Source organism: Homo sapiens, chromosome 12 (assembly GCF_000001405.40).
Source record: "Homo sapiens chromosome 12, GRCh38.p14 Primary Assembly".
NCBI lineage: Eukaryota > Metazoa > Chordata > Mammalia > Primates > Hominidae > Homo > Homo sapiens.
In genome coordinates, this window is record NC_000012.12 from 119,658,246 (window position 1) to 119,685,684 (window position 27,439).

At 44.9% G+C, this 27,439-nt stretch overlaps 1 protein-coding gene and 2 long non-coding RNA genes across 6 annotated transcripts in view, besides 10 other annotated features; 1 reads left to right on the top strand and 2 right to left on the bottom strand.

Moving 5' to 3' along the window:
* Positions 1-9,882, bottom strand: part of PRKAB1-AS1 (PRKAB1, TMEM233 and CCDC60 antisense RNA 1) — a 280,141-nt gene extending 270,259 nt beyond the window's left edge. For all 3 annotated transcript variants that reach the window (NR_188494.1, NR_188492.1, NR_188490.1), the window contains exon 1: positions 9,698-9,882. This is a non-coding gene — a long non-coding RNA (PRKAB1, TMEM233 and CCDC60 antisense RNA 1). The remainder of the gene's footprint in view (positions 1-9,697) is intronic.
* Positions 7,456-7,600: an enhancer, noted in NCBI's record as "145 bp enhancer 88 fragment used in the MPRA reporter construct; PK_construct_4701". NCBI's record gives its function as "activates an SV40 promoter by MPRA in K562 cells {active_cell/tissue: K562}" and the evidence as "EXISTENCE:reporter gene assay evidence [ECO:0000049][PMID:23512712]".
* Positions 7,520-7,537: a transcriptional cis regulatory region, noted in NCBI's record as "GATA motif; enhancer activity is reduced when this motif is scrambled". NCBI's record gives its function as "necessary for full MPRA enhancer 88 activity {active_cell/tissue: K562}" and the evidence as "EXISTENCE:site-directed mutagenesis evidence [ECO:0005528][PMID:23512712]".
* Positions 9,365-9,634: a silencer, noted in NCBI's record as "silent region_4930". NCBI's record gives its function as "represses an Ori minimal core promoter by ATAC-STARR-seq in GM12878 lymphoblastoid cells {active_cell/tissue: GM12878}" and the evidence as "EXISTENCE:reporter gene assay evidence [ECO:0000049][PMID:35858748]".
* Positions 9,707-23,374, top strand: PRKAB1 (protein kinase AMP-activated non-catalytic subunit beta 1). Of its 2 annotated transcripts, XM_005253909.2 has the most exons (8): positions 9,707-9,800; positions 9,991-10,158; positions 14,056-14,219; positions 15,719-15,812; positions 16,095-16,209; positions 18,292-18,425; positions 21,688-21,756; positions 22,003-23,374. In XM_005253909.2, exons 2-8 carry the CDS (start codon positions 10,000-10,002, stop codon positions 22,078-22,080), a joined length of 813 nt encoding a protein of 270 aa, XP_005253966.1. In that variant the 5' UTR covers positions 9,707-9,800; positions 9,991-9,999; the 3' UTR covers positions 22,081-23,374. The 2 variants fall into 2 exon arrangements, with proteins under 2 accessions (XP_005253966.1, NP_006244.2); NM_006253.5 differs by lacking the exon at positions 9,707-9,800 and having other exon boundaries at positions 9,888-10,158.
* Positions 9,735-10,144: an enhancer, noted in NCBI's record as "active region_7115". NCBI's record gives its function as "activates an Ori minimal core promoter by ATAC-STARR-seq in GM12878 lymphoblastoid cells {active_cell/tissue: GM12878}" and the evidence as "EXISTENCE:reporter gene assay evidence [ECO:0000049][PMID:35858748]".
* Positions 10,583-11,218: an enhancer, noted in NCBI's record as "H3K4me1 hESC enhancer chr12:120106633-120107268 (GRCh37/hg19 assembly coordinates)". NCBI's record gives its function as "activates a minimal SCP1, AML or CMV promoter by ChIP-STARR-seq in naive H9 embryonic stem cells {active_cell/tissue: H9 hESC(naive)}" and the evidence as "EXISTENCE:reporter gene assay evidence [ECO:0000049][PMID:30033119]".
* On the bottom strand, positions 16,155-27,241 carry LOC124903033 (uncharacterized). The gene is made up of 2 exons (XR_007063485.1): positions 27,077-27,241; positions 16,155-18,181 (listed from the first exon to the last, which is right to left on the bottom strand). It is a non-coding gene; the product is annotated as an uncharacterized LOC124903033 (long non-coding RNA).
* Positions 19,157-19,658: an enhancer, noted in NCBI's record as "H3K4me1 hESC enhancer chr12:120115207-120115708 (GRCh37/hg19 assembly coordinates)". NCBI's record gives its function as "activates a minimal SCP1, AML or CMV promoter by ChIP-STARR-seq in naive H9 embryonic stem cells {active_cell/tissue: H9 hESC(naive)}" and the evidence as "EXISTENCE:reporter gene assay evidence [ECO:0000049][PMID:30033119]".
* Positions 19,659-20,158: an enhancer, noted in NCBI's record as "H3K4me1 hESC enhancer chr12:120115709-120116208 (GRCh37/hg19 assembly coordinates)". NCBI's record gives its function as "activates a minimal SCP1, AML or CMV promoter by ChIP-STARR-seq in naive H9 embryonic stem cells {active_cell/tissue: H9 hESC(naive)}" and the evidence as "EXISTENCE:reporter gene assay evidence [ECO:0000049][PMID:30033119]".
* Positions 20,962-22,161: an enhancer, noted in NCBI's record as "BRD4-independent group 4 enhancer chr12:120117012-120118211 (GRCh37/hg19 assembly coordinates)". NCBI's record gives its function as "activates an origin of replication core promoter dependent on BRD2, P300/CBP, MED14 and CDK7 cofactors, and independent of BRD4, by STARR-seq in HCT116 cells {active_cell/tissue: HCT116}" and the evidence as "EXISTENCE:reporter gene assay evidence [ECO:0000049][PMID:35650434]".
* Positions 23,757-23,816: an enhancer, noted in NCBI's record as "active region_7116". NCBI's record gives its function as "activates an Ori minimal core promoter by ATAC-STARR-seq in GM12878 lymphoblastoid cells {active_cell/tissue: GM12878}" and the evidence as "EXISTENCE:reporter gene assay evidence [ECO:0000049][PMID:35858748]".
* Positions 23,987-24,116: an enhancer, noted in NCBI's record as "active region_7117". NCBI's record gives its function as "activates an Ori minimal core promoter by ATAC-STARR-seq in GM12878 lymphoblastoid cells {active_cell/tissue: GM12878}" and the evidence as "EXISTENCE:reporter gene assay evidence [ECO:0000049][PMID:35858748]".

Here is a 27,439-nt window from a genome sequence, read left to right on the forward strand (position 1 = left end):
AGATTCTCACAGGAGCACAAACTGTATTGTGAACTGCGTATGCGAGGGATCTAGGTTGCATGCTCCTTATGAGAATCTAATGCCTGATAATCTGTCACTGTCTCCCATCACCCCTAGATGGAAGCATCTAGCTGCAGGAAAACAAGCTCAGGGCTCCCGCTGTTTCTACATAATGGGGAGCTGTGTAATTATTTCATTATATATTACAATGCAATAATAATAGAAAAGTACGCAATAAATATAATGTGCTTGAATCATCCCAAAACCATCCCCCCAACCCTAGTCCATGGAAAAATTGTCTTTCACGAAACCTGTCCCTGGTGCCGAAAACACTGGGGACCACTGCAATATAGTACATCTGTGCAGCAGTAGTTTTGCATGGTGGCTAAGAGCATAGACTCAAGAATTAAATTTCCTGTATCTAAATCCTGGCTTCACCACTTACTAGCTTTGTGCCATTGGACAAGTTACTTCTCCACTTGTGCCTTAGTTTTTTCTTATGTAAAGTGGGGATAATAACAAAATGCACCTCTTAAAGCTTTATAAGAAGTACATGGCTTAAAGCAAGGAAAGTGCTTAGGACAGTGGCAGGTGTACAGTAAGCACTCTATACATAGACCTCTTCTTGTTATGAAATCTGCAGTCATTACAAAACTGAGGTGGCGGGACATGGTGACACACAACTGTAGTCCCAGCTACTCAGGAGGCTGAGGCAGGAGGATCACTTGAGCCCAGGACTTTGAGGCTGCAGTGAGCCATGATTGCACCTGTGACTAGCCTCTGCACTCCAGCCTGGCAGCATAGCAAGACCCTGTCTCTTTTAAGAAATTTTTTTTTTACTTAAAAATTTTTTTAATTAAAATTTTAAAATGAGGTGGAGCTGTATATGCTGATATGGAAAGATATGCTAAGGAAAAAAAGTACTAATTGCTTGCATTTTTAAAGAAGAGCGATGTAAGTACTTTTTCTATAGTTATAATTATAGGAAATTATAATTATAATAATTGTAACAAAATATACCCCCAAAAAGTATACAAGAAACTCTCAACAAGTTATTTGAGGGGAAAGGAATTAATGATGTAGGAGAAGGTGTAAGGGAGACTTTTGTTTTTGATTCTGTACCCCCTCCCATACTGCTTGAAGTTTTTAACCATGTTCATCCATACTTTAAAATACATACATTTAATTTTTTGAAAGGCCATAGGAATAATCTTTGTTGCTCTTTATTGCCACCTAGGGGATGCTAGGGGCATTGCCTGCCATGATCACTCATTGCTGTTAACCCTATTGACTATTTAATAATTGATTCCACCTTCTTGATTAGTACGTTACACCCAGCAAGTCATGGCTTCCAACTTTCAGATTTTTATTGAGTTTTGTAACAATAAGAAACATGGTTGGGAAATTGATGCTCTTTTGAAAAAAAAGAAAAGAAAAAACAAACATGGATTCGTAGTTAGAAAATTTTTTATTTTTTTAATTTTTATTTTTTAAAATATAATAAAGATGGGGTCTCGACAGCTTGCTCAGGCTGGTCTTAAACTCCCGGACTCAAGCTATCCTCCCGCCTCGGCCTCCCAAGCTGCTGAGAGCCACTGCATCTAGCCTAGAAAATTTAATAGATATTAAAACAATTGAACACCTAGTTTGTTCTCCCTCTCTGAATGACCATTCCAGCTTTATACTTATAATCTAGATCAGCCCAATCCATTGGCCCACCCAAAATGATTTCATCCCTCACTCAATGATCTGTCCGTGGTGGCTAAAATGTTGACATCTGTCTGGTTGCCTGCATTTGAATGCTGGTTTCATGACTTTCTAGTTGTGTGACCTCGAATAAGTCACTTCATCTCTCTGAGCCTCATTTTCTCCTGAAAAATGCAAGTGGTAATAATAGTAGATCCCTCAAAGGACTGTTGGTGGCATTACATGAGTTCATACATCAAACACAATGCCGAGTGCATAATAAGGATTGATAAACAACTTTCACTTTAACACCTACAATCTCCAAATCTCAACTTGATTGTCACTTCCTTCAGCAAGCCTCCTCTGACCTCAGGACTTGGTCACATCCTTCTCACTAGGTCACACTTCTCCTTCTTAGCGTTTGTCACAGAAGACTGTTGGATGATTGTTCGATTAATTTCTCTCTTCCCTACTAGATCGTAAACACTCAGGACAGAGCCTGGGTTTGATTTTGCCCACAATTCTCTCCCCAGTGTCTACCACAGTGCCCGGTGGATAGGAGTTTTTGCCATGAAAAAGTTATTGATAAAGAAATGAATTAATGCAATTAGAAAACTGAAGGCCTCTGAAAAAATCAATATTAACTAGAACAAGTGCCATGAACTAGTTAGGTTCTGATGGGCTAGATGACATGAGTCATGAGACACTTACAGGGAAGGACAGGGTGCGGAGAGGTTTATTTTGTAAGACAGTTGCAGAAAATAAATTGGAAAAAAGATAAACTGTACACCTCTACCATTTGTTCTAGGACTAACCCTATTTTCTTTGAGGTAAAATTCATACAACATAAATGTTAATTTTAAAGTAGACATTTTTAAGTGAACAATTCATAGGCATTTAGTACATTGACAATGTTGTGGAACCACCATCTATGCCAAGTCTTAAAACATTTTCATCATTCCAAAAGAAAGCCCTCATTCCCTCTTCCGCCAAGCCCGTGGTCACCACCAGTCTGCTTTCTATTGACATGGATATATCTATTCTGTATATTTCATATAAATGGAATCATATAATATATGACCTTTTGTGTCTGGCTTATTTCACTTAGCATAATGTTAATATTTTTGAGGTCATCCACATTGTAACATGTAACAGTACTTTATTCCTTTTTGTGATAGAAGAATATTCCACTGTATGAACATACCACAATTTGTTTATAATTCATTTTGTTATTGTTGTTACAGAGTCTTTCTCTGTCGCCCAGGCTGGGGTGCAGTGGCACAATCTCAGCTCACTGCAACCTTCGCCTCCCAGGCTGAAGCAAGTCTCATGCCTCAGCCTCCCAATAAACTGGGATTACAGGTGTGCGCCACTACAACCAGCTAATTTTTTGTATTTTTAGTACAGATGGAGTTTCACCATGTTAGCCAGGCCGGTCTCGAACTCCTGGCCCCAAGTTGATCTACCCACCTCGGCCTCCCAAAGTGCTAGGATTACAGGTATGAGCCACTGTGCCAGCCTACAAACTCATCTCTTGGTGGACATTTGGATTCTTTCCACCTTCTGTCTATTATGATAATGCTGCCGATCCCTGTTTTTTAAAAGTCTCCATGGTTCATCATATCAAGAAGAATGATAATCTCACAGTACCCTGGACCAGAAACCAAGACATAAGATCCAAATTATGATCTATGACCACTAACTTTTTCTATAATTCAGCAAGCTATTGTCCCTCCTCATCTGTAACCTATGTGGTTGAACTAGGATTTTCATGCAATTAGTGTGTCTTGGGAGGTGTTTCTGAGTATTTATTTGGAAGGTGCTCCTAAAAAGAGATAAAGAAAAGGAAAGGAAGATAATCAATGAATTCCTTGATCCAATTACTGCTGTGGACATCTAGGGTGCATTTCCACTGGGGACCTCTGAGACACGGTAGGGAATATATCTTAGTTATACGAGAGCTAAAAAGAAATTATTTAGACAGTTAGTGAGGGTAAGAGAGTCCTCAGTAAGGTTTTTCTTTTAATAAAAACGCAGTCTCCAAATCATTTCTTTTTTTAACAAAAAGCAGCCTGAAAAATCAAGCTGCAAGCATAGATAAGCAAGCTAGAGGCTTGCATAGGTAAATACCAGCAGCTGTGCCAATAGAAAACAGATAGCTGGAAACCAGGTATATTCAACATGGAGGTTCCCTCTTCCCTTTTCTTTGTTGCCACGTGTGCAGATAACATGGCACCAGCCAGGTTTTTTAAAATTCCATTTGCATAATAAAAGATTAGAGTGGGATGACCAGCCTCTTCACGGGCTATGAAAATGGCACATCTGGTCCAACCAATCCACTACACCCCATGTAAATCATATACCATCTCCTCACGCTCATCCCTAAAACCAACCACACCTTGCCCCAAACCAGGGAAACCCACTCAGGACCCCTTCTTCTGCATGAGGAAGCTCTCTTCCTTCTTTCATCTATTTAACTTTCCACTCTTAAACCCACTCCTTGCATGGCCATGTCTTCAATTTCCTTAGCATGAGACATCGAACCTCGGGTGTTACCCCAGAAAAATGACGCTGCTTCATTAGAGTTAGCACATCCAAGGGGCAAGGGAACTGGCTCCTCTGTGGTTGGCTGAGGGCTTCTCTCAGGGTGTCTTCTCTGGTCCCCTTGGGTTCCCACTTGTGTCGACAAAGCTTTCTCCAGAAGGCCCTCAGAGTTGCACCTGCTCACAGTTAGGAAGTTTGGGGCATGCGCAGAAGGGCACATGCAGATGGGGTATGATGGTCCCAACAGCATATGTTAAAGTGATTATGAAACTTTGATATTCAAATCCCTGGGAGCTTACATTTTAAAGAGATGAGACAGAGACAGACTTCCTCTCATTGTTTTCACCTCCGTTGGATCTTTGCCTGGATACTGCTTTAGTTTGTCACTTGTCCTCTAGAAAAGGGGTAGAAAGTGTACATCCTTTTCTCCTCCATTCCTTCAAAGCTCTTAAAAGAGGATAGAGATGCCAGGTGCAGTGGCTCACACCTGTAATCCCAGCACTTTGGGAGGCCGAGGAGGGTGGATCACCTGAGGTCAGGAGTTTGAGACCAGCCTGGCCAACATGGTGAAACCCCGTCTCTACTAAAAATACAAAAAGTAGCCAGGCGTGGTGGGGTGCGCCTGTGGTCCCAGCTACTTGGGAGGCTGAGGCAGAAGAATCGCTTGAACCCGGGAGACGGAGGTTGCAGTGAGCCGACATTGCACCACTGCACTCCAGCCTGAGTGAAAAGAGTGAAACTCCATCTCAAAAAAAAAAAAAAAGAGGATAGACTTGAGGTGAACTTTATTAAGAACATTGTGTTACCTTGAACTGGGCACTTCTCCCTTCTAGGTTTCAGCTTACCCTGTGAGTGAAGCTATTTATTTAAAAAAAACTTTATTGAAAATAAAATAAAGATACAGGAAACTACACAAAAGAAATGTATGGCTTAGTAAGTTACTACAAGGCAAACATGTTAATAATTACCAACCCAGGTCAAGAAACAGAATTTTCTCAGACAACCTAAAAGTCACAAAATGAGGCTATTTGCCAATTAAGGTTGTAGACCAAATGCTGTAGAATGAACTTCTTTTAATTCTATGTTGATGACTCTCTGTCACAATATTCACATCTCAGTGCAAAGAGAACACAAGAATGTCTAGCAAGAAAAGATGGACAAGTTTCTCAAACATTGGCAGTGTTACTTACATTGGCTAGGCAAAATTCAGAAGGCCTGGTGGAAATCTGGTTAAGCCCTAAAAGTAAGCTTGTAATTCTATCCTAGCAGCCCACACACATTTGAGTCTGTCTTAGTCAGCTCAGACTGCTATAACAAATCATCAACTGGGTGGCTTAAACAACAGAGATTTACTTCTCCCAGGTCCGAAAGCTGGAAGTCTAATATCAGTGATATAATTTGGATACTTTTCCCCCTAAATCTTACACTGAAATGTAATCCCATGTTGGAGGTGAGGCCTCCAACATGGTGGGAGGTGACTGCATCATGGAGGTGGACTTCTCATGAATAGTGTAGCACCATCGTCTTGGTGCTGCCCTCACAAGATCTGGTTGTTTAAAAGCGTGCGGCACCTCCTCCCACTTTTTTTCTTACTCCCACTCTTGCCATGTGATACATCAATACATCGGCTCCCCCTTGGCTTCCTGAGGCCTCACCAGAAGCAAGCAGATACCCAGAGCCATGCTTGCTGTACAGCCTACAGAACCATAAGCCAAGTAAACCTCTTTTCTTTATAACTTACTCAACCTCAAATATTTCTTTATAGCAATACAAGAATGGCCTAATACAATCAGGGTGCCAGGATGGTTGATGTGTGGTGAGGGCTCTTTCCCTGAGTTGCAGATGGCCGCCTTCTTGCTTTGTCATCACATGGCCTTTCCATTGAGCATGGGCGTGAATAGACAGCATGCGAGCAAGCTCTCCAGCGTCTCTTCTTCCCATAAGTACCCTGATCTCATCATGGGGGCCCCACTCTCATGAGCTCATCTAACCCTAATTACCCCTTGAAGGCCCCACCTCCAAACATTATAAAATTGGGAGTGGGAGTGCAAATGTATGAATTTTGGGGGGATACAATTTAGTCTACAGCATAGTCCAAATGTGAAATTTCTTCCTCCAGCTACCGATGTTTAGTGAGAACACTGCCTGTTCTCACCACATGTGCATATGTGTGTGGACTCTTTCCTCTGGAGGGCAAGAACTTGGTTTTGTTCACTGTTGTAACCAAGAGTTACAACAGTGCCTGGCTCATAATTGGCACTCAATATTGCCATTGAGTTATTTGTGATCAGAGCCCTGGCTGTTCTTAGATGGGGAGGGTTCTTCAGAACAGTACAAATGTTTGTAGACAGGCCAGCTGGGGAACCAAAGGTCTTTTTGATGAGGTGCCATGACCATGATGTAGTGGGGAGTGGCCAGGTGATCCAGAATTCAGTCTCAGTATGACCTATGATCATCTGAGTGACCTCAGGCAAAACTGTTCGATCTCTGGGACTTAGACTCTTCCTTATATAAAACAAATGGGTTGGTCAGTTCAGAAGTGCTATACTGATTCTAATCCATCCTATGGAGGAGGCCCCAAAACATTATCCTTAACCCTTTTAATCATAAATTTAAGGATAAATGAGATTTTATCTCACTCTGGGTGACTTTTAAGGACTTGAAAACCTACTTCTTTTTGTGCTTGGAGCTGGAGTGAATTTGAAGCCAGGGTTGCGGGGGTGGGGGAGGGGTACTCCTAGCTGTGGCTGTGTTAAAATTGCCCTGGTTTGTTTGGGGGAGAATCTAGGGTATTTATCATTTGTCTTTGCCCTGGTGCCAGACAGACAGCAGTGAGTAGATGATGCCTTTTACACAGCAATGTGCTAACAGTTATACTTCCTGGCACACCTCCAGCCCCCAAGATGGAATGGTCTGACATCCATATCAGCAGAGAATCAGAGAAAGATGAGACGCTCTGATGCTTAGGAAAGTCACAAACCATTGTTACACAGATAAGTAACACAAAATGACCCAAGAGAGACACAGCTGGGACCCAAGTAGACACTTGTAATTGGCGAGTCTACCCTACCCATGATTTTCAATATGGGGTCAATAGCTGATAGATACCAATGTTAGTTTCTTTGTCATGAAATCTTGATACAATGTGGTAAGAGTTTCCAATCAGCAGTTGGTGGCATCCTCAGGATATTGTTGATTGTATTTGACATCAAGGGCCACCCATGCTTTCACTGTTATCTTATTCAAGCTAGTGCAGATGTCTTAAAACTTTCTTCATGCATCAAAGCATCTGCATAGCTCAGATAAAGAATCCACAGCTCATGTGTTCTTTCTTATCTCTCCGGCTGTTTGGGAGAGATTTCAAAACTCAACACCCCACTGTCTCATGTAACCAAGTCAGGGCCACTATTAGAAAAGCAGCTCAAAGAAGATATCCTGGGTCATCCACAGTATCTTAGCTTATTTAATTCAGCAAGCACATTCAACATTTCTGATTATACTGAATACATTCAAATTCTCAGTCATCAGCTTCAGGAAGACCCTCCTGGCTCCCATCCCTTTTCCTGGCTCCCATCCCTTTTCCTGGCCTGGCTTAAGTCCCTTCTGGGCTCCCACAGGATCCCTTACCTAGCTATATTATTGCTTTTCTGTGGGTCGGTGCCAGCCTGTACTGTATTAATTCCTTTGGGGCTGGAACCATATCTTATTTTTTTAAATTAAAAAGTAGTACATCCTCACAATAGAAAACTTTTCAAATACAGAACTATATAAATGAAAAGTGAAAGTCCCTTTTCTGTCTGCTCCTATTTGCAATCTCCCTCCTCTCCCCACAGAAGACCACTATTAACAATGTGTTGTATACCCTTCCAGAACTTTCCATTTGCTAGCCTAATAGTGCTAATAAAAGTGTTAACAGTTATTGAGTGTTTACTAAGAGTCAAGTGCTATGCTCAGCATTTTTATGCACGTTCCCAATTAATTCACAAAACAAGCCTATGAAGTAGGTGTTATTTTTGTTCCCATTTCACAAAAGAAGAGACTAAGGTGACAGTTACTAAATGGTAAAGCCAGAATCTGAACATGGCCAGGCTGAATTCAGAGCTCCTGCCCTTGAACTTGTTCTCTCACTTGCTTCCGGACCTTGCAATATCATAGACACTTCCCCATAGTGACCTAAAAATGGTTTCTCCCTTTTTAAAAGTTGCTTGGTATTCTACAAAATGAATGTATTCCATTCATTTTGCCATTCTCCTACTGAACAACTTTTAGGATTTTGTAGTTTTTCATTTCCTTATTTCACCAAGTGTAAGATTCCATTATTGTAAAAAGCATCCAGTTTCAGAAATTAAAATATATGGGGGCATGGGGGGTGACAAGTGCATCTTAGAATATATTTTTGCATGTAAATATTTTGTAGATAATGCTTGTAAATAATTTTCATGTGTGTATTTCTGCACAAGTTTCCTAGGAGTAAAATTGTGTGTCAAAATGAAGGTGCATTTTTAAATTTTGATGCATACTGCTGAATTCCCCCCAGGAAACCTTATCTTAGTCATCTTGTGTTCCTCATTTCCTTAGCACAATGTCTGGTACTTTTTTAGGTACTAAATAAATGTTCAGTGGGTGAAATGCATGACCTGACCCGGCAAATGCAAAGTATTTTGAGATATTCACACACCAAAAAACCCACAAAATATGACAATGACTGACAATGAGAAGATGAGAATATTTTACTACCGTATTTGTATGCACTTCTTGTTGAAGCACTGACCAGAGTAAATGACAAACGCTAATGCATCTTATGCAGAAGGATGTTTCCGAAGTGATTACAAGATATCTTGCAAAATTACCTATCAAAAGATTGCACACTCAATAAAAATACACGAATAACTCCAGCATTTTACAACCCCCAACCTACTAGACATAAGAAATTTCCAGAGATCTTATGGTCTGCCATTTTTTCAAATACCTGCAAGACTGCCTGCACCCCCGACCCTAATCTGTAGAAATCATGATTCTGCAGGTCTGCAGTGGGGGATGCATTTAACAAGCGCTCCAGGTTAACCTAATGCACTGTAAAGCGTGAGAACACGTGCATTAAAAGGGCTTTAAGAAGTGGAGTTTCTGAATCAGATTTGCATTTTAGAAAGATCCCTCTGGCTGCAGAGTGTAGAATCAACTATAAGTGAGCAAAGATAGCTAAATGGCATTATTCAGCCCAGCGCATGAACGGCTCAGATTGCCCGCGCGCTGGGGTGCCCCCTGCCGGCCCTCGGCAGCGCCTCGTCCTGGGCCTGGCCCTGGGCGGCCGGCTGCTGACTGCGACTGCGCGCTCCGAGGCCTGCAGAGACGGCCCGGGGCACCTGTTACCGCACCGCTCAAGACCGGAAGCGGAAATGGAATCGAGATAGCCTCGCGCGTTTAGCTGGCCGCCGCCACCTCCACGCCCTAGGCCGGGCCGACTTACGGAGTCGCCGGAAGCGGAAGTCGCTGAGGGGTGGTGAAGCGGTTGGGAAAGTGTCGGTTTATCTTCGCGCCCCTTGCGTTCTTGCCGCGGCTTGCCTGGGCAGGTAAAGCGCGATTGCGAGAGCTCGGCAACCCTGCCGACTCAGCCGGAACCGGCTCCCGGCCCGAGGGGCGTGGTGTCCTGGTGCTCCGACTCCTTCCGCAGGCTCCTTGGGACCCGCGGTTCCGGGAGTCCCTTGCTCAGGGTCCCTTTCCTGCAGTGAGGCGCCGTCCGCCTTCCCTGTGTCCCCGCAGACCCCCATCATGGGCAATACCAGCAGTGAGCGCGCCGCGCTGGAGCGGCATGGTGGCCATAAGACGCCCCGGAGGGACAGCTCGGGGGGCACCAAGGACGGGGACAGGCCCAAGATCCTGATGGACAGCCCCGAAGACGCCGACCTCTTCCACTCCGAGGAAATCAAGGTGCGAGCGGTGTGGAGGAACCCGATTCCCCTTGACTAATGTTGAGGAGAGGAACCCTCCACTAGATTCCCGTCACATCCTTTCGAAAAACACCAGAACGGAGAGGGAGGTGGTACATTACCCGGTGCACTTAAAAGCCAGATGGTCCTGTAAGAGTTCTCTTAGCGGTCCAAGAACCTGTGTCTAATTACCAATATGAGAAAGTCACCCTGAGGGAGGAGGTGCTCACTTGGTTTAACATCATTAAGGAGAAAGCAGCTCTGGGACAGAGTTTCAAATTCTTAATTAATTCAGAGTCGAGCTAACAGTAATTGAGCCCCAGCTTCTGCTTTTCTCTTAGGTGTAATTAATTGCACTGCTTTGAGACAAATTCCCTCACCTTTACACAAACTGGAGCTTTTGTAAAAGTTAGTTTGGGAATTTATCCATTTTGGAGGCAAACCAGGTACATATACAAGCTGAAAGTAGAGCGGAACAGCTGACGGCAGTTGCCAGAGGTGTTTAGTTCTGCCCAACACTTTTGATTCACCCTACTTATTTTTTAAAAGACGGTGGTCTCACTAATTAGCCGGGCGTGGTGGCGGGCGCCTGTGGTCCCAGCTACTCGGGAGGCTGAGGCAGGAGAATGGCGTGAACCCGGGAGGCGCAGCTTGCAGTGAGCCGAGGTCGCGCCACTGCACTCCAGCCTGGGCGACAGAGCTAGACTTCGTCTCAAAAAAAAAATATAAATAAAAATAAAAAAGACGGTGGTCTCACAATGTTCTCCAGGCTGGTCTCGAACTCCCGGGTTCAAGCAATCTTTATGCCTTGGCCTCCCAAAGTGCTGGGATCGCAGGCGTGAGCTACGGTGCTGGCCGGTTCAGCCTACTTTTTTTTTTTTTTGAGACCGAGTCTCGCTCTGTCGCCCAGGCTGGAGTGCAGTGGCGCGATCTCGGCTCACTGCAAGCTCCGCCTCCTAGGTTCACGCCATTCTCCTGCCTCAGCCTCCCGAGTAGCTGGGACGACAGGCACCCGCCACCACGCCCGGCTAATTTTTTATATTTTTAGTAGAGACGGGGTTTCACCGTGTTAGCCAGGATGGTCTCCATCTCCTGACCTCAGGAGATCCGCCTGCCTCGGCCTCCCAAAGTGCTGGGATTACAGGCGTGAGCCACTGAACCCACCCTACTTATTTTTTTTTTTTCCTTCTTTGAGATGGAGTCTCACTCTGTTGCCCAGGCTGGAGGGCAGTAGCACAATCTCGGGGCACTGCAACCTTCGTCTCCCGGACTCAAACCATCCTGCCTCAGCCTCCCGAGTAGCTGGGACTACAGGCGTGTGCCACCATGCCTGGCTAATTTTGTGTATTTTTGGTAGAGGTGGGGTTTCGCCATGTTGCCCAGGTTGGTCTTGAACTCCTGACCTCAAGTGATCCGCCCGCCTGGGCCGCCCAAAGTGCTGCGATTACAGGCATGAGCCACCACTCCCGGCCTCACCCTGCTTTTTTTTAAAGCGTACATAGAAAAGTCTTTCAGCTTCTAGAGGTCAGTGGGCGGTGAGGGTCTGTCTGAAGGAGGCAGCCAGCAGCTACTGAACTTCTCTCTAGTGTTGTTTAAATATGACTTAATCGTGCTTAAGCAGGCCAGTGCAAACATTTTTCTTCCTGCTGCAGCCTGTTTAAATTCAAAAACTCAGGTGACTTAACTCCTGCTTCAACCACACTCCTGTTAACCACCTTCATATGGTGGATATTTCCAGCCGCAGGGCTCAGTCCAAGGACACTTAGTGATTCTGGCAGCTGGTATTTATGTGTTATGTCCAAAAGGAACTAATTGTTTCAAGGAACAAAGTAGGTTTAGGAAAGATAAAGCTGCCCTCTGCCCAACATACCCTGTTAGTATCCAATTTCATGTTAATCATCATCCATTTAATTGCTTGGCAGCTCATTCCATCTGTGTTTGTCCTCATGTTGAGCGAGGTGATCACATCTCACACCTTCTTTTGGATCTTAGTTTTGAGCCTGACTACAAAGAGGCTGCTTTTATGTGGCCCTACAACCTGTGGTTTGAACTTGCTCTCTGAATTTGTTGCATTCTTGAAGAGCTGTGTGCAAAGTGAACTTTAGAATCATGTTTCTCTAATGACTTGACGTCCTTTCCCCAGGAGGTAATTTTGGTCCCTGGTCCCAAGAAGGCTATTTAAGACACCAAAGGAATCAAAACTACTTTCTTCAGAAGTATTTGTTCTGTTACTATTCCAAAACTCCTCCAGGAAATGTTGAGCACACACATCATCTATGGGGAATGATTTCAAGCAGCGTCCATTCTCACTTCATTAGAAGTTACTGAAATCCCCAGATACCAAAAAAGTCGTGAATTCTTTTAACTACACTAGGGTGCTATTTTGGTCATAATTAGTTATCCTTAGTGTGAAGTGATTCCAGTCTGTTATTTAATATGTAGATCTTGTTAGAATTCAAAGAATACAGGCATCATTTGGATAAGCTGAGGTCGGTATTTGAGATGAAGGTGCTAGAAGCCTGCTTAACTCCCTGAAGAGTCTTTTCCAGCCTGAACCTTCTGCTCTTTTTAAGTCTTTGGCTTCTGACTGGGAAAAAATCTAAAAGGTGCATGACTACATATGTCATCCAGATAGATTTGGATGAGTTTATTTCTTATTCTGGAATACCTCAGTTATACGGAGCTTACCACACTGGAGGTTATCATTTATCCTAATGAGGGTTCAGTCTTTGTCTTGCTTTATTCCCCAGTCCCTAGACAGAACTTTGTGAGTAGTTTTTCCCTTCCTCAAAATCTGGATTTGCCTATTTTCAAGTTGACAGCTCTAGAATTGTTCCTCTTAAATTTTCATGTACAGTCATACATCACTTAATGACAGGGACATATTCTGAGAAATACATCATTAGGTGATTTTATCATTGTGTGAACATCATAGAGTGTACTTACACAAACCTAGTCTGTTCTCATGCTACTATGTAGAAATACCCGAGACTGGGTAATTTATAAAGAAAAGAGGTTTAATTGACTCAGTTCCGCATGGCTGGGGAGGCCTTAGGAAACTTACAATCATGGTAAAAGGCACCTCTTCACAGGACGGCAGAAGAGAATGAGAGCAAGCAGGGGAAATGCCAGATGCTTATAAAACCATCAGATCTCATGAGACTCACTCACTGTCAGAGAACAGCATGGGGAAACCGCCCCCATGATCGATACCTCCACCTGGTCCTGCCCTTGACACGTGGGGATTATGGGGATTACAATTCAAGGTGAGATTTGGGTGGGGACGCAGAGCCAAACCGTATCACCTAGTCTATATGGTGTAACCTGTTGCTTATGGACTATAAACCTGTACAGCATGTTATTCTACTGAATACTGTAGACACTTATTCCACAAGTATATTTAAGGATTTGTGTACTTAAATGTATCTAAACATAGAAAAGATAACAATAAAAATATGGTATAATCTTATGGGACTACCATATACACAGTCCGTCGTTGACTAAGACATCATGCACATGACTGTACTTCAAATCTTGCTTGATTAAGGGAGGAACATGACATTAAGCTAGTCTTGGATTCGTAGTAGCCCCTTCCAAGTGTGTTTCATAGCTTCTTCTAGAATTTTGATGTCAACTTCTTTAATGACAACAATAGCTAATAATTAGCACTCACTGTGTCAGACACTATATAGAGCACTTACATGGACTGTCTCAGTCTTCACAACCTTAAAAAATATATTTCTATTTTGCAGGCAAGGAAACTGAGGCACCACTAGTAAGTTTCCGATCCTAACCATGAACCAAGATAGTAACAGCTGCGTCTTTAGAATGAATTGTCAATATTGTCTGTTGTAGGGAGCTCGCTTATGGCTTTCTGAGTAAACTGCTCTGCTTCTAGGCACCAGAGAAGGAGGAATTCCTGGCCTGGCAGCATGATCTGGAAGTGAATGATAAAGCTCCCGCCCAGGCTCGGCCAACGGTGTTTCGATGGACGGGGGGCGGAAAGGAAGTTTACTTATCTGGGTCCTTCAACAACTGGAGTAAACTTCCCCTCACCAGAAGGTAATTGCCTGGGGAGTGTTCACATATTTGTCTTAACATAAATTCTCTTCTTTCTAAAACATCTCTGAGAGAGAACAGAAAATGGATGTTTCTATAAAATGGATGCCTAGTGGAAAAATAATTTTGCTTAATAAGTCTTAAGGTTCAAATGTTAAACCTTGGTGGTCTCTAGGTTTAGAGTACAGAAGAAAGAGAATATTTCTGTGTCACAGACATCTTTCACTTCAGATCCTCAGCTATCTGTTCGGTCAGGACTTTTCCACAGAAACACAAAAATCTGTCTTAATGCAGTAAGGGAGCACTGGGCTGGAATCTTAGAAACCCACATTTGAGCCCACATTGGCCATGCTGTCAGTCACCTAACGTTAGTTAACCTGAGCCTCAGCGTTCGTTTCTGTAAAGAGGGAATATTGGACCAGATCATCTCTGAGGTTTCATCTAACTTTGACTCTGCGTAATACTTTGTTTGAAAAGTACATGTTGGCTGGGCATGGGGGCTCATGCCTATGATCTCAGCACTTTTGGGGGCTGAGGCAGGAGGATTGCTTGAGGCTAGGAGTTCAAGACCAGCCTGGGCAACATAGTGAGACCCCCATCTCTACAAAAAAATTAAAAATTAGCTGGACATGGTGGTGCACACCTGTATCCCCAGCTACTCGGGAGGCTGAGATGGGAGGATTGTTTGAGCCTGAGAGGTCAGTGCTGTAGTGAGCAGTGGTTGCACCACTGCACTCCAGCCTGGGCAACAGAGCAAGACTTTGTCTCCAAAAAGAAAAGAAAAATACATGCTATGTAGGTGTCATTAGCAAGGATTATAGTAAGACATTTTATCAGGAACCCCAGCATGGACTTCTGTCTTAAGTTGTCAGTGAGAGAACACCTTTAGTGAGTATTCTTGATAAAATGAGGGAGAAAGTGTCAGGCCTATTGTCAGGGGCTGCCTGCTTTCCAGCGTTTCCATTGGAGAAGGAGGGAGCCACTCAGCACAGCAGTCACAGGTCAGTTCAAGCCAGGGGACAAAACAACCCAGTGAAGGGGCTCTTCCGGAGTTTGGTTTTTCAGTCATTAGGCAAGTTTCTTTAGAGAACATTTGAGCTTCCTATTCAATTGATCCCTTCTCCTGCCCAAGGCAAAGTGACAAAGGGTAAAACGAGGCAGCTTCTGTTTATCTTGTGTTGTCATCCTCCTTGGCATCCAGGAGCCTTGCGAGCTTGAGACGCACAAATGCCTGACTGTTGACCTTTTAACATTAGGGATGTGGTTTCCTGGTATTTGAGTAAGGTGAGTTTTCAGGAAACTGTGTCGCACTGCTGCTTCCTTATAGCCTTTTCAGATTGAGGTCATTATGCTGAATTGTCTAAATGGGCTAAAAATGTTTGTTCTCCTGCAGCTGAACTCTTGGTTTTATGTGGAAACGTTTTGTTCTGTAGCTGGTTTGGCAAGTAAGCTCGGGGGGCAGCCCACCCCACGGAAGTCCTCTGCTTCCTTTTTCCTTGCAGCCACAATAACTTTGTAGCCATCCTGGATCTGCCGGAAGGAGAGCATCAGTACAAGTTCTTTGTGGATGGTCAGTGGACGCACGACCCTTCCGAGGTACTCTTCCTCCCACCTCTGGTCCTCTGGGTGCCCGCACATTCCAAACAAATCACCTTCCCAAGAGATTGCCGCTAGGTCCCTTTGCCCAGCTAGTAAAAGTCCCCGTGTGTGGCAGAGCTGAGTAGCAGCACTACCTGTCAGACAGTTGGCATACTTGACCAAGATGAGCAGGGTGGCTAGCCAGGAGATGAGGCCTTCCAGCCAGGAATTCCAAGTCCTCTGAAGAATAACTCCGCAGACCTTCCACGTTATGATTTCTGCCTATCTGTCTCTTCCCAGCCCATAGTAACCAGCCAGCTTGGCACAGTTAACAACATCATTCAAGTGAAGAAAACTGACTTTGAAGTATTTGATGCTTTAATGGTGGATTCCCAAAAGTGCTCCGATGTGTCTGGTATGAACACAGTTATTTTATACCACATGCGTGCAGGTGGGGGCTGTACAGTCTAGACATACTCTTGTTTCTCTTGCCTCTCTTGAGCTGAAGCTGCCCAGTCAGATAGGCATTTATAGCCCCCACTTAAAGGCCACAGAACTTAATTCCTGTCAGGTTGTTGAAATTTAGCCCTAAGGGAGCTACAAGTCATTTCCCTGGTCATCTCAGGTATTCAGTAGGTCTGCTTGGCCACAGAACGCAGACAGCAGAAATGGAACCATAGCTTGATCTCGTGCCAAGGGCAGGGCTGAAGAGGCCCTGGAGGGTGGCACTGAGTCAGTGACAGCCCAGCACTGGGGAAGCCTGTGTCTCATCCCACTTGTGGTGCCTGAAGAATTTCAGCCTGACAGGTGTAAATGGACACCTCAGTGACCTTAGCAGTCACTTATGTGGTACATTAGCACCTTGTCAGAATCCCTTTGGGGAGGATGCGGCTCCCCACGGGAAACAGCCTGCACAGCCCAACTCTCCTTGATGGGAAGCTATTTGGTACAGAAATACAGACCCAGTAAAACTTCTCCATCTTGTAAGAGCCTTTCAGGCATCGAGGTTTCAATAAATTGCTTTCCCTCCAAGCCCCACAGGAAGAAACTACCTGGAACATGATTCATACAGTTCGGGGGAAGAGGGTTGCGATCTAAAGTGTTCCCCTTCTTGGAGGCGGGGGCTTAACAATTCCTGGACTCTGAGGGAGGCAGTGGAAAGATGCCCTGGCAGAATATCTGGCGCCCTAAGAAAACAGATTCCGTTCGTTGACAGGAGAGTTCTTCATCATTGTCTAGTTAGGCCTGGAAGTTCTGCCACCAGGATTTCTTGTTACCAGTTCAGAAATCACAGTGGTAAAATGATCACAATGGGCTCACTGTGGTTGACAGTTTGTTGAGCAGGACTTGGAAATCCGAAATCTGTGCTTTTATCTGGGTAATTAGTCTTTTAGAGATATCATCTAGTTTTTTTGCAGATAGTTGAGAATCAGGGAATGGAGGAAGTGTGCCCAAATATCCTCCAAAATATATAACTTACTGATACATGTAATTTTAAGCCACTTACAAGCTTTTTAGTCAAATTTCCACCTAGGGAAAGGAAACGGACCCCTCACTGATACGAAGCTAATTCCACGTTCTCTACAGACTTCTGTTTCGACACTTACTTCCTCAAAATGTTATTTACTCCTTATGGCTCAGTTTTCTGCACTTCATGCTTTTCTCAGTTTCTTGCTGTGATATGGTTGGGTCACATAAACGGGGCTTGTCCCCTGAAAAATGACATTGAGGGAATTGGCAGAGCTGGGGCATAGCAGATTTTCCCTGGACCAGTCCCAGGATCTGGCGACCAGAACCATCCCACGCGTTCTTTGGATGATGGCTTGGTACCTTCTGGCTGGCCAAACGTCACTATCCAGTGTTCTAGCATTATGAAATCCTGCTCTTGTAGCAGCTTCTCAGTGTATCTGAATAATCCAGATACTCAAGCAAGAGTTTGGAAGGAACTTGAGTGTAATGGAGTTAAAGAGCCTTTAGATATTGGGCTTTCAATTTTCCCCCCCATTTTGAAATGTGCCTCGTTTAGCCTGTTTTCTCCACGGCCTCTGTGTAAACAGACTGCCTCATCTTCTGTTGCATTGCGGCCGGGGGTGCCCATAACTTGGACTTAGCTACTCAATCCTCACTTAGCCTCCAGCTTCTTTGTGGTTTTGCCAGCCCAGCCTGAAGGGAGAAGGAAGTCTTATTCTGCCGTGCGTGTGGGATTAAGTTATCGAGAATAGCCTCCTTGTGATCTGACGCAGACTCACTGGCTGGGCCGTGTCTTCCACCAGGGCATCTGAGTTGACTACTGAGTTGTATGCTAGTCACCCAGATTCCAAAAGGGTTTTCTCCTCTCCTCTATTCTGCACTCTTGGAACCAGTGCATCCTTCAAGAGAATGTAAATCTGCATTGAGGGAACAAGAGACAAGGAAAATGAGATGATGACAACATAAGTAAGGCTGCTCCTAGAATGCCTGATTTTCAAAGTAAAGTCCTGTTACCATCTCCCAACAGAGCTGTCCAGTTCTCCCCCAGGACCCTACCATCAGGAGCCCTACGTCTGCAAACCCGAAGAGCGCTTTCGGGCACCCCCTATTCTCCCCCCACATCTCCTCCAGGTCATCCTGAACAAGGACACGGGGATTTCCGTAAGTATGTGGGCATCTGCCCGGACCATCCGCCGTGGGTCATGTTCAGTTGCTTTCTTTCCTGTGTCCACCTCTTGCAAAGCAGCTGGTGAGCAAGCTCAGTGTCACCCCCTAGTGTGAACTGTGCCGTTCACCTCTGCTGTGGGGATGGGCTGATAACAAGAGGTTCCCAGTGTGGACACCGCTGCCTCGTCTTGCAAAGCCTTTCTGCACTACTCTTCCTTGTCCTTCACGCCTGCCTCAGTCTAAGCCCTGTTCAATTTACATTTCATGACAAACTGTATCACCATCTCTTCTTAGTAAGCTACATGCTCTGGCCCCCACATTTTAGAATCTAGTTTTAATCATTCAATTGCTTTTAGAAATATCAGTACTCCTGGATCAAAATTTGGGATATCTAGGTAACACACATTTCTCCTCCGGGAAATTATTACATGCAGAAAAGAAGTGTGTGTCCTCCTGGATCTTGAAGAACAGCCAGTTCTGTTGTGATTCTGTTTTCTGTTCCATCTAACCTGGATTGCCTGCCCAGTCCGCCTAGCTCTGGGATGCATGGCACAGCCGTAATTCTTGGGAATCCAGGAATTCAGCTTGGTCCAAGCTACCTCTTAAGAGGCATTGTTTACGAGGTGCTTAAAGTAACCATGCTGCTACTGAACACTCCACCCTGAAGTGGAGGGCATGTGTGCTGAGACGAGGAATGCACGTGTACACATGCAGGTGTCCCTACAGTGGTCCCTGCCGGGCTGCCAGGACAGGGTCTCAGTGCTTGTTACCCTACAGGGTACCCAACAGGGCTTGCCTTTCTCAGGTCACCTCCTGTGCTGGGAGTGCCCCTGCAGCTGGGTAGCCATCCTGGTATAGGCCCAGAAGAGGCCAGTGGTAAGGACAGCACGCCTCAGCTGGCAGGGCCCACCATCTTTCCAGCACTGAGTTGGCAACAGTCTCAAATAGGTCACAGGTGAAGAGTTTCAAGGACATGTAGCTTCTGCCTTAGAAGCACTTAGTTGACACTGCTTCCCTTAGCTCTAACTTTACAAAGGTTGGTGGGTAAGATGACTTTCAGTGCCCTCCTAAGCTAGTGAGGTTTGTTTTTTTTTTTTTTTTTTTTTGAGACGGAGTCTTGCTCTGTTGCCCAGGCTGGAGTGCTGTGGTGCCATCTTGGCTCACTGCAAGCTCCGCCTCCCGAGTTCACGCCATTCTCCTGCCTCAGCCTCCCGAGTAGCTGGGACTACAGGCCCCCGCCACCACGCCCGGCAAATTTTTTGTATTTTTAGTAAAGATGGGGTTTCACCATGTTAGCCAAGATGGTCTCGATCTCCTAGCCTCGTGATCCACCCGCCTCGGCCTCCCAAAGTGCCGGGATTACAGGCGTGAACCACCGTGCCTGGCCAGGTTTTGTTTTTTCTAGAAAAGGGAGGCATCACTAGCCATCTTCTCTGATGGAGACTGCTGCTGGGAATAGACAAGCTGAGAGTGGCCCAGGGGGCTGGGAATATGAGAATGTCAGGACCCCTCTGTCCAAGGTAGCACTAAGCTCTAATGTAAACTGTGGTTACAGTTGTCACTACTAAAGGGTTAACATTTATTTTGCCCCAAACTAATCTTAAGTGCTTTTCGTGTATTCTTATTCAAGCCTCACAACAACCATGTGAAGTAGGTGCAATTATTACCCCCATTTTAGGGATGGGGAAACTGAGGCACAGAGCAGTAGGGAGAACACTTAAAATCTACTGTCTTAGAGATTTTCAAGAATACATTGTTACTAATAGTCACCGTGTTGTACAGTGGATCTCTTGAACGTATTCCTCCTGTCTAACTGAAATGTTGTATTCTTTGACCAGCATCTCCCTACCCCCACCACTCCTAGCCGCTGGCAACCACCACTCTACTCTCTACTTCTGTGAGTTCGACTTTCTTGGATTCCACATAAGTGACATCACATGGGATTTGTCTTTCTGTGCCTGGCTCATTTCACTTAATGTCCTCCAGGTTTATCCATGCTGTCACAGATGACAAGATTCCTTTTGTAAGGCTCAGCAGCACTGCATTGTGTATCAGTACCTCATTTCTTTATCCATTCATCCATTGTGGACACCTACGTTGATTCCACGTCTTGGCTATTATGAATAGAGCTGCAGTGAACGTGGGAGTACAGATATCTCGACATGCTGATTTCATTTCCTTGGAGTATCTACCCTGTAGTGGGATTGCTAGACCATGTGGTAATTTTAGTTATAACTTTTTAGGAACCTTCATGCCATTTTCCATAATGGTTGTACTAATTTACATGCCCATCAGCAGTGCACTAAAAGTAGCTTTTAAGTGTTCTCACCACAAAAACATGGTAAGCATGTTCTGCGTGTGTTGATGAGCTTGATTTAGCCATTCCACAATGTGTCCATATTTCAAAACAACATATTGTACATGGTAAATATACATAATTTTATCTGTCAATCTTTGAAATTGATTAATTTTTTAAAAACCCCTCTTAGGCTCACACAGCAACTGGCTGAGCCAGCAGTCACATCAGGCTTGGCTGGTGCCAGATCCTTGGTAGTTGGTGCTCTCAGCAGCCACCCTGAATGGCCTCCCAGCGGGAGCTTGCTGAGTATTTGTTGACACAATGATTGGCCCAGCCTCTGGGATCCTAAGCCTACAGCAGTTGTTCTACACTTTTTTCCATTTGAATTGCATTTATAACAGTTGGGGGTATACAATGAAAAAATAAATCCCGATTTCTGGCTTCTCTTAAAACATAGGAAGGTGCGGCGGGCAGCTCTGAGTGCCAGCCCGGTGGCAGATTTTCCAGAGTAGTGGTGTCTTGCCCAGGTATCCGTTTCATTCTTCAGGTTCATTGAGTCTTACAGATACAAGTTTTGAATCCATTGCTCAGGAGCGTTTAGTGCAGATGGTCTCTTCCTGTGTTCTCTGAAAGTGCTGTTAATAGCTGCTTTCTTCCTGCCCCACCCTCCATAAGAGGACAGGGCCGTGGCCCACACTTGAAAGAGGCCGGGGTAAATGCCTGGCCAGAGACACACACCGATGCCTCCAGCAGGCATGCAGGGAGCTCCCTTCAGGTCAGAAGGCGTGACCTTCATCTCACCTGTCGTCTTGGACAAGCCCTTGCGCTGCCTGATTTGGGAAGAGAGGTCGGCCTGAGCGCTGCCTCCTGTCCTTTGATATCTGGCACTGGGAAGTAAAGGGGAGAATCTTGGTTTCCAAATCCCAAATGCTCACCGCTGCCTTTGTTCCCTCACAGTGTGATCCAGCTTTGCTTCCTGAGCCCAATCACGTCATGCTGAACCACCTATACGCGCTGTCTATCAAGGTAATGACATGTCTGTCCCCATGAGAGCTGTGTTGCCCAGTGTGTGCTCTGAGGACCCCCAGCAGTGGAATGACCTGGCGGGACTGACTTAAAGGGCAGCTTCCAGGGTCTGGCACAGGCCATCAGGCTCAGGTTCTGAAGCTGGCCCGGGAATTTGTGGTTTTATGAAGCCCTTAATGATTCTCATGTCCTCTGAGGCTTGAGCCCCTTAGTCCAGCCTTTGATCATTTCCACCTTGTTCCTTAGGATGGAGTGATGGTGCTCAGCGCAACCCACCGGTACAAGAAGAAGTACGTCACCACCTTGTTATACAAGCCCATATGAAGAGCTGGGGGCGGATGGTGGCCCAGGAGACAGCACACCACCAGGCTCCACACGTGCATGCTTTCCCCAAGAGGGAATGGACTGTACATTGCTCATTTCACACTCTTCAGAAGACATTTCATACCTGCCCTGGTCCTGCTTGAAGGTTTGTCCAGGCAGAGCAGCTCCTGCAGCGCCTCGGTCTGTGACAGTCCTCCTAGCACCCCCATGGCTTTGAGCCTCGGGGACTCATCAAGTCCAAGAAAAGAGGGAGGGGTGGCAGAGGATCTGCAGCCCTGGCCCCGCGGTGCATGAGGCTGGGTGCAGTTCTAAACCTACATTCTCGATTTTTCTTAAGCCAAAAATGAATGCTAACTCCTTTGCCAGTAAAATTCTGGGAAACAGGGACTGAGGCCACACATCATTTCCAGTCATCTGTGTGTTTTTAAGGCCAGCCACTTGTCCCTGTTGAGGCCTGGCTATGGAACTAAATACAGTGTTGGTCTTGCCTGTCCTTCAAAATCAACAACAGATTGTCTCTCGGCTCCAGGGAGGTGTCATTTCTATAGAAATTAGAAGCTTTCTGATTTCTAGATGAGGTTTTACAATTGTTTCTTACAGTCATGTGCACTAAGTACTCTTTTTGTAAGCAGAGGTGGCTGGCTCTGCAGCCTTAAGGCCATTTTTTAAGTCACCACGTCTAGAAGTCACATGAACTCTGCTCAGCAATAATCTGTTCTCAGAACAGACTTTTCAACCTGCTGCCGGATTTCTCCATTCAGCTGGATGATCCTCAGGACTGACCAGTTAGCTGGCAGGTTGTCCAGCTTTTTATTCCAGTCATAATAGGTGACAGTGTTAACCGTGAAAACTTGAGAGGCACTCTGCCCTCTTCCCTATAAAATCACACAGCGTGATTTTACAAGGTCCCGTGGCACCTTGCTCAGGACCTCTGCCCCTAGTTAGCAAGACTGCAGCAGTTGCTGTTGCTTATTCTGAAAGGAATGTAGAACTTGACAGCAGCCTTCTGAGTCTGGGTCAGGAAGATGTCCTTTGGACCAAAGCAGACTTCTTTATACGCAGCTCAGTTTCCCGGGAGTCGCCACAGATGTACCCACTAGCCCAGGTTGCTGTGAGTCAGCGGAAGCTCCCGTTATGCCCTTTGCTCCTGGTGGGAGAGGGAGGAGTGAGCTCCCTGGGTTCCAGTATTTACTTGGTATACCTGAGTTTGGGGGTACCCTTTTTTGTGACTTTTCAAAACAGTGAATTACTGTCACCTTGATGGACAAGTTTCAATAAAACTTTGTAAAAATAATTGGACATGTGCCTGGAGGAGCTCTGATTTTATTCAGTCCCTTGGAGAAGAGACTGGAACTCTTCGAGAGTTGCGTTTCAGTACCGTTCTTGTGGCTCTGAGCGGACAGGGCTACTCCAGCTGCCCAGGCCTGAGAACCAGTCCTGTGACTCACACCCATTCACACAGTTTGGAACCTTAAGGGACCCCTAAAACTGAGCCCCTCTGAACAGCTCAAGTCACAAGGGGAAGCTGAAGAGGGGTAACAGCAGAGGCTCCTGGCTTCGGCCAGTTGTTGGTGTCCCCAGGCCAGAGGGTTTGTTTCCTTTTGCTCCTAAACAAGCCCGGTGGGACAGCCTGGGATCGTGACCCTGGCGTGTGAGAGAGCAGGACGTTGTGGAGTCAGAGCTGTTTTCATCCACTAAAAGAGGCCGTGTCCCTCCTCCAAAAAGGTGGAAGGTTATGGGTGTTCCTTTAAGCCTTCTCAGGTATCAGGAAACATTTTAAATTTAGCAGAAAAGCATGCTAATGAGCTCTACCCACTGGTGCAGAAAACCCAAGCTGAAAATGCTATGTAAAATAAGACTGGTTTACTGGAGCCAGTCACCCCATGAGTTCTCCAAGCCCTGGGGCCACAGGGGACTTCCAGGTGAGGTCACTGCTGAGATGATGGAGGAGACACAAAACAAGAGGACATGGTCAGAGACAACACATCTCTGTGCGTATTCAAAGGATTTCATTTTCTTTAAAAAGCACATTATAGTCGGAAAGCCTGCCCACCAAGTGAAAGCCTCCATACCCAAGAAGCTAAAGGTTAATGGTGATTTTACAAAGGTGGAAAAGGAGACCTTGTTTTGCCCAAATCACAGGGGCAAAGCCATATGTCAAATCGTGTCCTATGACCAAGTAATCCTTTCTTCATTAGCATTTCCTTTATGGGTGAGGACTTAGTTAAAGCTTAACTCAAATTGCTTTTCAATGAAGATACATTTTTCCCTCTAGAAGCTGATATACAGATGAATTTATAGAGCCAAATTAAAGCCTAAAAAATTACTAAAATGTAAATCAGTATTGCAGGGCTAAGGCCACAAACAGGAAGTCAAAAGGCCAGACAAGAAAATTGTGCCTGCACCTCAGCTAGCTCAATTAGGAAATCTCCAAGGCTCCTAAAAGACTGAGAGAAAAAACCTGGAACATCATGATACGATCTGTGGCTGAGGTCAGAGACTGAACGAGCCAGTCTAGGAAAGAACAAAATTTCATTTTAATTCAGTTCCTTTTGTATGAGCACAGTTTCACTTTCAAGCATTTACTTCCCATATCTGATCCTCCTCTGCTATTGTGTCACCTTCAAAATTCAAATGTCCCCAATGTGATAGTATTAAGAGGTAGGGCCTTTAAGAAGAGATTAGGTCATGAGAGCCCCTCCTCTCATGAATGAAATTGAGGTTCTTATCAAAGAGGCTTCAGGCAGCATTCAGCTCATGTGCCCTGGCACCTTCTGCCATGTGAGGACACACAGCTTTTCTCCCCTGCAGAGGACCCAAGCACAAGGCGCCATCTGGGAAGCAGAGAGTAGCCCTCACTAGACAAGCAAACCTGCCCATGCCTTAATCTTGGACTTCCCAGCCTCCAGAACTGTGAGAGAATGAATTTTTGTTCTTTATAAATTACCCATTCTCAGGTATTTTGTTAAAGCAGCACTAAATGGGCTAAGACATCCACCAATGTTTACAAATGGTTTGAATGAATTGATGAAGACCCAAGACATGGACCACTCATCAAATCATAAAGTTTCTGAGGAATAAAAGCTTCAGCACTCATCTTGGCCAGCAAATTAGTGGAGAAACAAACTAGAGCCTTCTGCCCTGGTATGCCAACTATAATTGTCTTCAGGAGAAAACATGGAAGTTGTAGATACGTATACATTTCTTCTAAAACCCCAGTCATCCCTATTAATTGTAAAAACATCCACAGGATCCTCCTAAGAGTCATCGTCACTATAGTGAGTCAGACATTTGGAGAAGATCCCAAAAGCTGGAGCAGCAGCCGGAGCCCCGTCTCTGGGACCCCAGCCACTGGCTCTAGAACGAGCCACCAGGCTCTGCCCTCAGGGTGGGCTCCCACAACTACATTGTCGTCTTGTCTTTCATACAACTAAAGAGCCTTTCCCCAGATGAGGATGCCAGCTCTTACTGCTACCTCCCCCTAAAAGAATTCACCCATCCCATCTGAAATACTCAGTGGCCAGTGAGAACAGGCCAAGATGTGTATACCCTTGGTCGATTTTTTGTTTCCTTTTTTGTGGCTCTCTGAAAGACAGCCTGACTTATGCAGAGTAATAAAGTCATTTTCAAGGTTCTTTCATCTACCTCTAACAATCTCTCTAGGGCAAATAGAGTTCCGTTCATCATTAACAGACTCAAGGGAAAACAAAGTGATCAACACTGGACTCTATTTCCACTACCCCCACCCTCCCCAGCTTCAGGAAACAGCTTCAGCATTTGAGTGGGCAAATAAGAAACTATTTTTCTCATTTAACACTGTAGGCCTAGAGCCACGGTCTACATGCTTTAGACATCATTAGCAGTATTTAAATTGCCAAGGAAGACATGGGACTAAAACTAGAACAGACCACGGTTTCTCAACCTTGGCACTATTGAGGCTTTGGGCCAGATAATGCTTTACAGTGGGGGGCTGTCCTTTGCCTTGTAGGATGTTGAGCAGCATCTCTGACCTCCACCCATTGGATACCAGTAGTACTCCCGAGTTGTGACAACCAAAAATGTCTCCAGACATTGTCAAATGTCCTCTGGGAGGAGGGAAGCAAAATCTCCCCATGGCTTAGAACCAGTGGAACAAGCCAGTGTAACCACTGTATTCTGAGAATGGAATCTGAGCTGGCCCCCACGAATGCTTTCTATAGCAAATCACATTCAAGAGGTCCAATTCTGAAGACAGTCCTATTAAGCAAATTCTCTTTTGGCCTAACCCTCCAAATCCTAAAGTTCCATGGTTATGGAATTTGCTATGCAATCAACCTCTTTAGTCCGGTGACAATTAAGTTGTAAGCGCAGAAAACATGACATCTAATTTTGTGCTTATGAAACAGGAGTGGCCAGCATGAAGAGTTAGGCCTCATTTTACGGTGTGGCTGTGGAATTGGTTGGTTGTTTCTTTCGGGCTATTCCTTAGGGTTCAAACACTCTTCCTTGGCACTTCCTTTTGAAACCAAACTATGTTGACTTAGCTTTGGAAGTTTTCTGTGACCTCCCACAATCCTCTAGACAATCACTGAAATGCTTGGTTGATATTTAACAGATGTTTTTCTAATGCTACAAGGAAAGAAAGGTTCACATTTCACCACTTCATCTTCTGAATTATTTTCATTCTTACAACTACGACCTTGTGGCAGATTTTCATGCCCAACAGTAACATCGAAAAGAACAGAATTGCATCTGTGGTTCCCATCACAAGCAACAAAGACAGATACGACTCTGCGAGTCCAATTTTGACCGTGGTCAGACGACTTCATTAGAAAATAAAAATTCAAAGACTACAACCCACAGGAACCATGAAAACAAAAACATCACCATTTGCCAAAACCCGTTTGTCTGGATCGAGCAAGTTTATACTAACAAACTAAAGAATGAGAAAAAATTTATCTTGCAGACTGTAAAAGTTCCTCTACTTAAAAATGGAAGTATTTTCATTTTTAATTACCTTTGATTTGAATTCTTCTCTACAAAGAAATCTACATTATTAAATTGTAGTTGGCCTTTTAATAGATGAAAGATATCTTGAGCTGACCTGTTCCTGGTTAGCTGATTATAGAACTGGGTAATCCATTCTTCAGTAATCCTTTCCAAATGTCCTGTGTGACTGCTTGAAGAGCTTTCCAGCTCTGCAGTCCTATAAAATGACCTTAATAGCCAGTTCATGGTTCACTGGAAGTATTGACCAAATTTCCACAGTCAAACTCTTGGCAGAGAATGTCACCAATCGCTTAATTCCAGGATAGCAGTGTGCCCTAACCACCACGTGGCTTCCTCTATCCCACTCCAGAGGAAAACCCTCCCCACAACG

Bases quoted from the DNA above. Each gene is read 5' to 3' on its own strand.
- PRKAB1 (XM_005253909.2), top strand. From the start codon at position 10,000: ATGGGCAATACCAGCAGTGAGCGCGCCGCGCTGGAGCGGCATGGTGGC. The intron at 16,210-18,291 runs GTATGAACACAG...ATCTCCCAACAG, and splicing joins AAAGTGCTCCGATGTGTCTG to AGCTGTCCAGTTCTCCCCCA. The intron at 18,426-21,687 runs GTAAGTATGTGG...GTTCCCTCACAG, and splicing joins ACAAGGACACGGGGATTTCC to TGTGATCCAGCTTTGCTTCC.